At 50.1% G+C, this 9,444-nt stretch overlaps 1 long non-coding RNA gene across 2 annotated transcripts in view; it reads right to left on the bottom strand.

Annotated features, from left to right (window-relative positions):
- LINC00299 (long intergenic non-protein coding RNA 299) overlaps positions 1–2,475 on the bottom strand; it is a 320,649-nt gene extending 318,174 nt beyond the window's left edge. For both annotated transcript variants that reach the window (NR_034135.1, NR_152741.1), the window contains exon 1: positions 2,290–2,475. This is a non-coding gene — a long non-coding RNA (long intergenic non-protein coding RNA 299). The remainder of the gene's footprint in view (positions 1–2,289) is intronic.
- Positions 2,476–9,444: the final 6,969 nt, after the last annotated feature.

Genomic DNA, 9,444 nt, shown 5'->3' on the forward strand with positions numbered 1-9,444 from the left:
CTTTCTCATGGCTGCTCACATTTACCAGGGACTGTCTAAACACACTGTCCTGCTCTCAGAGGAGAGAGGCATTCTGTGTCATCGGGGGATGTCTAACAGACACAGCTGACCCAACTGTCCCCAGTGCAGGACTTCAGCTGCCCTCCTGACTTGGGAAGTGGCTGCGGCATTGCAGGCAATGGTGAGAACCAGGTGCCCTAGGGTCCTGGGCTTGGCGGACTTGCCTCTCAGAGTCAGGCTGTTCTTTTCACACCTTCAAGTGAAGCCAAACTCTGTTTGTCAGCTTTACAGCACTGTTGTACCCATCGAGAGAAGCCTGCTTGCTGGCAGCCCCTGCCTGGAGCTTGCCTCTTTGCCTGCTTTGCCCCCAGACCCCTCCTTTGGTGGAAGCCCTCTACTGTGGCCCAACATCCGGTCTTTCTCTTTATACTTCAAAGTCAGCTCTGGAAGCTCCATGGTGAAAAGATGGGGCTGGTGTTCCTGGGAGAAAGGGAAGAATGAAAACCTGTTTCAGCATCATGGAGTGGAAGGAATATAGGCTTCTGCATCAGGCAAACCTGCGTACAGCTTCCAACTCAAGACATTCACCATCCAGGGGACCTTAAGCCTCAGGCTCCTCACTGTTAAATGCCAAAGAGTCAAGTGAAAGAGCTTGGGCAAAGTTATGGGCATATGGAAGATAACAAATGGTAACAATTATTAACTATTTCAAGAGAAATTAAGTCAAGGAGGGTAGACTTCCACTGAGCAGCTCCAAGTGATAACTGACGTTTATCACACACTTACTGTGTGTTTGGCTATCTTCTCTCATTTACTCTTATTTCATTTACTCTGCTCAACTATCCTATGACACAAACATTGTCAATGTCTGCATTTTCCAGAAGACGACTGTAAAGCCCAGAAGGATTAAGTAGCTTCCCCAAGGTCACACAGTAAGTACTGGGATTCAAACACAGACAATCATCCAACAGAGGCCATTCTCCCGAGGACCAGGACATATCCACCCCCTCCACAGAAGCTGGTGAGGCTCAGGGTTTCCATTTGAGGATCTATCATTCCATGGCTCCCTGTTGTTGTTTTTCACCAGGGAAGTCAGAGTAGAAGAAAAGTTGACAAATGTTTATGAATGCTGGGAAAAATTAAAAAGTGCCAGAGCAAGAGCGGAGTGGAGAATTGTCTGCAGAATGAGAAAACCCAGGTGGCAGCAGCTACCTGCAGACTTGACTTAGCCCAGATTCCCCACCAAGCAGAAACTGAGGCCGACTTAGATGCTAACGTTTTATTGAAAGATCCAATCCCTGGGCAGAAACAATGAGAGGAAAGGGAAAGATTGAAAGCAAGCACAAGGTCGGTGTGTAAACACGTGGTCATTGCTTCCCAAGCCACCAAGAGATTTAAGGGTCCCTGGGCCACGTGGGGCCCCTGGAAACAGGCTGCACAGAGACCTGCCCTAGAGCCTGCCCAGGAGGCCAAGGGAGGAAGTGGTCTGCCAGCTCCCTCATCTCCCACCTTCGATTAGTCACAGTCACCCCACAGGCAGTGACACCCATACTTCCCAGGGGGTCATCTAGCCTCTCCAGGTAGCTACAGGGGACACAGATCCCCCTCTGAGGCATTTCACCCTGGCCTTGGAGGGGCAGGGGTCAGGGGCCCCCCAAGCCTAGTGCAGCCTCAGCCACCAGAGTATGAGAGTGGCCATGTGGAGTCTGTCATCACCTCCAGGGGATCGCGGATGCAGGAGGGTAGCAGCTACCTGGGTGCTTCACAAGTAAGAACCCAAGGCCCCTGGAGACAAGTGAGGCCCAGAGAACTCAAGGACCCAAGAGGGGCCTTAAAATTGTGCCTAAACAGGACCTGGAGTCCCTCTGAGAAGTCATGGGCCAGGCACAGGAAGCCTTGCCAAGCTGCAGTCCTGGGCTAACTCACAAGTCTAGGGGCTTGGAGGGGCTCCGTCCAAGAATACCAGAGCTTCCTGGGCACCCAAAGCCGTAGAGTCAGGCCAGCTAGGGCAGCACACATGGCTGTCCCCACTCTTAAGACTGATAGACCAGAGCCCAGGCCGCCCCCAGAGCCAGGCAGGAACCATTCTGACCACCGGCCTGGGGAAGGCCACTCTTCCCAAGGGCTGGTGTAAGGAAGAGGCTCCTGGACTCGGAATGAGAAGTTGCCAATTCATGACCTGCCCGGCCTCCTACTAGCTGCACACCTTTGGATGAGGCCTTGAACCTCTTCTCTGCAAAAGCAATCCTAGCCGAGCCCTGCCAGCCTCTGGAACCTCTGTCTCCTCACCTGTAAAATGGGGTAAGGGTCCAGGCTGGTCCAACTCCTGGGGCTACTGTGAGGATCACGGGGCTTTGCCGATGAAAACCCTACTGCCCTGCCCTGCCCTGCAGGCCTGTCCTGCATGCCCCTGCTCATCCACGGGGCCCATGGGCCTGAGGTCAGGGCGAGGCATGGCCACCCTAGCTCAGTGTCAGCCCAACCCTTCCTATCAGAGGGAAGCAGAAATTGCCCTGTGCAGCCTGCTTCCTGCCCCATGACAAGGGGCTTCCCCTTAAGATGATTTTGTTTGTCACAGCCCATAAGGGGAAGGGTATTCCCTGAACCAGCACAGCCCTTTGATGGGACCAGGGGGCCCCTGTCCTGGGTCCAGCACTCCTATCATGAAGAGAGGGACAGGAGAGTCGATGGGGGAGGGCACGAGCCTTCCCAGGGAGACCTGATCCCATCCACGCCTTGTACCCAAGCCCCCAGAATTCCTAGCCTAAATGTCTCCAAACCTACTTCCAGGGCCCAAGTCTGATCCCCTGGACATCCCAGAGCCTGGGGAGGCCCAAGGCCCACCCCTGTGGGTGGAGCACCCTGACAGGGAAGAGTGAAGTCCAGGGAGGGAGGAGAGGAGATGTGAGAGGGGGAAGGGAGGCCGAGGGCAGCAGGGGCTGGAAGCAGCTTCCTCCAAGGCCTTCTGCTGGCCTGAAGTCTCAAGGAGTCTGAATTCCAAATTCGAACCTAGCCATCAAGGTCAAGGTAGTAGGAGAGAAACCATTTTACTCAACAATGTATAAGCAAAATGTGTCATTTTTTAAATATGAAGATCTTTACCATGTGGGCCCCATTCGAACTCTTGCTCTGGGGACCTGCCCATGTTCAGGAGCTATGTCATTTTACTCAGCCTCCTTCCAGCAACTTCCACCCTCTGCTGCCCCAAATCTCAAAGCCTCAGGTGCAGTATTCTTCTAAAACCTGGATACTCCCTTCTGGTCCACAGGGCATCTGTTCTAAGGCATCCCCCTTGCCTTGATCATGAAGGGAACGTCCTTTGAAAAGGCTGCCGTCCAAAATATTCCCTGCTGTCCATTCATTCACTCATTCATTCCTTTATTCAACAAATGCTTGAGTATATCCTTCTGTGCCAGGCCACACTCTGGAGATAGTGCAATGAACAACACTGGCAGAAGCCCCTGCCCTCATGAGCTTCTATCCTGGTGGACAAAGACACACAGCAAGCCGGTGAGCATGTGAGATGAACAGAGCATCAGGAAGGGCCACCAGCACCCTGTGCCTGCACACCCACTGTGACTGCCCATGGCTGGGGGCCTGGCCCACTGTACTTCACATGGTGGACAATGAGGCCCTGTGAGGCTCCTTGTGGCCCCTAACTCCTAAGTGACCGGGCTGGGATTCCCACTCAGATGGTGCTGAGGTCAAAGATCTCAAAGGCTTTCCACCGCCAGGTCCCTCCTGAGTCAGGACTAGCATTAATTATAATAACAGTATCAATTAGCTCCTCTTGGCTCCAAAATATAATGGCTGCTTCCTCTGGTACAATATTAGGAGCAGGCACCAGATGAAAAAGCAAACGGATCGAACACCACCCACAGAGATAAACTGGCCTCGTGATCAATGATGGTGGATTTTTTTTTCAACACAGATAAACAGGAAAGGAGTTTTGGTTTTGAAACTCAAACGATTTCCTTGCTGTAGCCGTATCTAGGTTGGGTATCGAAGAAAACAAAAATAATTCTGGGCACAGAAGGAAGATGGAATATTTCTGCACTCAACACTGGGCCAGTTTGGCTCATTCCCAGACATAAAGAATTCTGGTGTCCATTTTTAAATAAAAATAAATAAAGCAGTTCAACCCAGATGGGGGTGCCAGCAGATGTGACAGAACCATGGAGAGTGGGTGGGTGGTGTGCAGCACTTGGCCATTGCTGACAGCAGCCCTGTTGTGAAGTACACAGCTGGGAGGACGGCACAGGTGCGCTCACATGGCCGGCATTCCCACAGGCCCGCCCACTGCCTTGATTGCGGGCCACGGCTGACGGCTGACCGCAGAAGCCTCCCAAAAGAGGAGGCAGGTGTGGGAGGGTGGCTGCTGCCAGGCCAACTCCCCTGCAAGGGTCAGTCCCTGCTCTCTCTGCAAGGTCCCCTGCCCCCAGCAGCCCTGGCTCCCCTTCAATCCAAGGCTCAGCTCCTGGACCTGAGGCCACAGGCTCTGCTTCCTGGCTGCCTCCTGCTGCCTGAAAGCCTCACAAGCAACTTAATTAGATTAAAAAATACCAAAGGCTACTTAACAATAACTGAGCGTGTATTTTCAAACAGCTAGAAGAGAGGATTTTGAATGTTCCCAACACACGGAAATGACAGATGTTTGAGGTGATGGATATGTTAATGACGCTGAATTGATCATTACCCCTTGGATCCATGTATCAAAATATCACTGTGTACCCCATAAATAGGTACAATTATTACATGTCGATTAGAAAAAAATACCAACGGCAGGACTAGGATAGGACAGGCTTCAGGGGGGATTTCAGGAAGTTCCATGTTCAAATTTTGGCTTGGGTGAGTCAACCCCTGGGCATCAAGTTACATATGGGAGCTGAGAAGAATCTCAATCGTGCATGTAAATATCTCGGCATAGCAGTAAGTAGTCGTAGTTCTTTATGATAATTTTAGCAGCGATACTGGGGAGGTTTCTGGAACAAGTTAAAGAAATTTAATAAAGGTGAAAACCTCTTTCATGATGTTAGAAGAAGTTTGTCTCGCTCCGCAGTAATCCCACCTACACACACAAGAGACCTTTTCCTGGCTTTTCATGTTCTTTATGTTTGAGGGGTATAGAATTATTTTTCCAAGCACCTTTTGTTCTGTCAAACGGATAAAGAATTGATAGATACATAGAAAGTATTGGCATTCTTGGGGTTATTTCTAATGGTAAATGTCATAATTTCATTAAACGAGACAAATATTTAAAAGACAACAAGTCGACAGTGTTGGATGCCTTTGGTGTGGTTCATTTTGCATGACAGGTGACAACCCCTTTTCTTCTTTCAAATGCAATGTTTCTAAAGCCAGATAGAGCCGGGGGCCTTTAGTGCTCCTGAAATTGTGTATGTGTACTCCTTTTTCTACAAGAGTGTCCACAGCTCTTACTGGCATCTCAAAAAGCCTCCAAGCTACCTATGGGGATCACCCTCTCTGGCACCAAAGGGGAATTAAACACCAGTTTGCTGAAGACCAACTAGACATCATCAGTTTTCCCCTTTCAGGACCCACCAGTGAGCACCAGGCATGTTCCTGTTCCCTGTTTCCAATTCTCCCTTTTGGGACCCACCAGTGAGTACCAGGTATGTTCCTGTATCCCCGTTTTCAGTTCTCCCTTCGCTTTCTCTGTCTGCCTACTTCACATACTCAGGTGCATCTTACAGGGATCCTTTTTCTGAAAATAAACACTTGGACATAGCATAGTGCAAGGAGGCAGGGGAGTGTGTTGCCAGGAAAATGGAAGCAGCACAGTGAGCCTGCGGGTCAGGGGGCAGTGGGGACAGTGGGGCAGCGTCCTCCCCACTGCCCCCACCTCCAAGCCCTGCTCACTAAGGGGCCCACCCCCAGCCACCTTGGTGCTGTAAGAGCACTTCCACTGGGGCCAGAAGAGAGGCCAGTTGCGCTTTTTATGAACTTGATCATCGAGTTATCCTGGTCATCTACTGCAGGCTGTGGGGGCCGGTCATGGGAGATTCAACAACGGGGAAGCTCTGCAGCCTCCGCTCCACCGAGCAAGGCCAGGCCCAGGATCCTTCTAGCTCTCCCAGGAGACCTTTGAGCACCTGGTTCTCAGTGGCTTGACTCAAACAAGGTGATACTTACACGGCTGAAAAAAAAAAAAAAGAGCTGCTAGTTGGGTAACTGCACTTATGCACATGCTAGAGTTTGACTTCAGTTCTGTAATGCACCTTGCTTTCTCCCCAACCATGGGGTGGCCTTGGGAGTACCCACCAAAGGACCCAGGCAGGGACCATCTCCAGGCAGTGACCAGTGCCACCACCAGCAGCCATGAGACTGTGAACATGTTTATTTGTTCATTTGTTTATCTGATTCCTTTAGAGCCAGCTACTCTGGGTTTCTGAGAAGCCTCACTCTGCCGCTGTACTACCAGCTGTGTGGCCAGACCTAAATTACAGCCTCTGCTGACCTTGGTTTCCTCATCTGTAAAAGTGAGGAGAGTTCTGCATTCCTCAGAGGTTTGTTGTGAGGATGGAATGAAATAATTAAGTAAAGCACATAACACCACACCTGGCAGGTAACAGGTATTCAATACATACTATGAGTTGGATGGCACGCTGGCCCCAGCATTGGGGTAGAGAACGTTCAGACATTGTTAGCTGCCACTTGACCAAGGTTCACAGATTCAGAATAAGTGAGTGAGTGCTGAAATAAACAAAAGGAGTGGGGTGGGTGCTAGTGGAGCCGTCACAAGCACTGTAAGCGACAGTGCAAAGCTGGCTTGCTTGTGGCAATACAGTTGTCATAAATGCCCCAGACAGCTGGGGCTCTGGCTGGGAGACACGCGGGCCGCTATGTGGCCCTGGAATCCGGGTAGCCCATAAATGATGCATCAAGTGCAGAGCTGGCCACAAACCATGGCGATGCAGGCCACGGGAACATCTGTGCAAACAGAGAGGCCTCTGAGCAAAGGCAGCCCCAGCTGTGCAGGCCTGCCTCTGCAACCCCACACTCCCCACCCCTGCACACCCTCGCCCCCACACCCCCACACACCCCACCCCACCCCTGCAGGTGACCACTCACCCTAACTGTCCAACGGTGCAACCTCGAGCAAGTCCACCCCCTGGTCCCCAGCTTTGGTTTACACAGCAAATGACATGTATTGCAACCTTTAGATATATCAAATGTTTTAAAGAAAATAGGCACAGGGGTTCCCCATGGCAGTACATGCAGTTTTCTCTACTATTAGGTGGGAGGATGGAAAGGAAAATCTTACCTCTGACTCCGAACACGGAGCCCTGTAGGAACGGCCCCCATTTAGTGACCCTAGTAAGTCCCCGGTACCCAACTCAGGCCTGGCACACAGGGCCCCAGGCAAGGCTCTGGAGCAAGTGTTCTCACAGAGCCAGTGACCGTGGAGCCTGTGACCGTGCAGAGGGAGACAAACACCGGTGGGAGAAGTTGGGAATCGCCCTGTCCCACATTCTCGTTCCCTGGGAACCTTCCATCTTCTTGTCTCCACCCAATCTGTCTGGATGGAACTCTAATTTTTTCAGCAATTTTCATCTCAGAAGTGAGCAGGGAAGGACTCCAGTATATGTGAGAGAGAAGGATCCTGAAAACAAGTCAATATCCTGGCCATGGACACCCAGTGAATGTTTAACCATGCAGGACAGCTGAACTGGTACTTGGTGACCCAGCAGGCGATCGGGATCTGCTGGTGATCTTGGTCCTCTGGGTGATCCGTGGTCCTCTGGGTGCTCTGATCTGCCAGGGGATCCTCCAGGGCACTTTAGGGCTATAATCATGAGCTTCAGAGGTACACAGTAGAATGGAATCTTGCTCCACCACTGCAGCAGCCACCCGACCCTACCCAAGCCCTTTCACCCCTGGAGCCTGGGTCTGTTCGTTTGTAAAATGGGGGAGTCTGATCTCTATCTCACAGGGTTGCAACGAGCATTAAATGAATTACTGTTAGTGAAGTGCTCATCAACGATAGACTGGATAAACAAAATGTGGTACATCTATACCATGGAATACTATGCAGCCATAAAAAGGAATGAGAAAGAAAAGGGACATGGATGGAGCTGGAAGCCATTATCCTCAGCAAACTAACACAGGAACAGAAAACCAAACACCGCATGTTCTCACTTATAAGTGGAAGTTGAACAATGAGATCACATGGACACAGGGAGGGGAACAACACACCCTGGGGCCTGTCAGCGGGTTGGGTGCGGGGAGGGAGAGCATTAGGAAAAATAGCTAAGGCATGCTGAGCTTAATACCTAGGTGATGGGTTGACAGGTGCAGCAAACCACCATGGCACACATTTTCCTATGTAACAAACCTGCACATCCTGCACATGTGTCCCAGAACTTAAAATTAAAATCTAAATGTATTTTTTAAAAAAGTATCTTAGCAGGACTGCCACAGCAGAGGGCTCTGTGGTTTGCTATCTTTTCAATACTAGTTTTAAATTAAAATAAAATTAAATGTTTCTAAGACCATAAGTGCAAACTGCAGAGACCCTTATTGCAACTATTAGTACTATCATTATTATTTTCATGGGGAAAGGAGAGGGAGGGGTAAATTATAATAATATAAATGATATGTTTATCAGACAAGACTCCTACCTGAGAAAGGATATTAAGAAAAGTAAAAACTAGCCCAAAGAACATATCTGTCTCTGCGCTCATTTCTTTTATACAACGACTTCAGAGAAAATGTTTTCATTCATCAAATGGTCAAACAAATGTTAAAGCCCTGAAAATTATTTGGAAAATCCAGTGTAAACTAACACAAGATGGGATTTCCCATGGGTTAATCCAATGGGAAGTTTCACTTGGTCCTGAATTTCCTCACAAAATTATTTAAAACGCTCTTTTGTTCCTATTCTCCTTCGCTACCAATTTAAAGGAAAGAAAAGTGGGTCATGCATTCAACAGAGGAATGAACCAGGCCGCAAAACAAGCCGAGGGTGAAAAGGGAAGTTTTCTGACAGCGTATGTGGCCTCCAACACTCAGTGGTGAGAAGTGCAGAAAACTCAGTCTAAGGGGCAATTATATTTTAGAGTCAAGAATGGGAACACTGTTTCAAAGAGGAGCAGAATTTAGAAAAGCAGTTAACTGCCTAAGACTGCTGAACCCAAACTCTGTCCAGAGCCCTGACCACAAGCAGAGCTGCCGGCAGACGAGCTTGAGGCAGTATCTGCCGGGAGTGTGGTCAGCGGTCAGAGTCCAGGGCTGCACGCTCACGGCTCTGCACACGGGGCTGCTAACCCTAAGGCCACGGCCAGGAAGGAACCCCAGGGACACTTGACCTGCCCACGATGAGAAAAGCAGAAACAGCAGCTGCTGTCCTGCATGTCACCAGCATCACCACCTCAACTGCTGTGCAGAAACACCTGCCCAGAAACACCAAGAGCTTGTCCACCA

The sequence above is a fragment of the Homo sapiens genome, chromosome 2, assembly GCF_000001405.40.
Source record: "Homo sapiens chromosome 2, GRCh38.p14 Primary Assembly".
NCBI classification, from domain to species: Eukaryota; Metazoa; Chordata; class Mammalia; order Primates; family Hominidae; genus Homo; species Homo sapiens.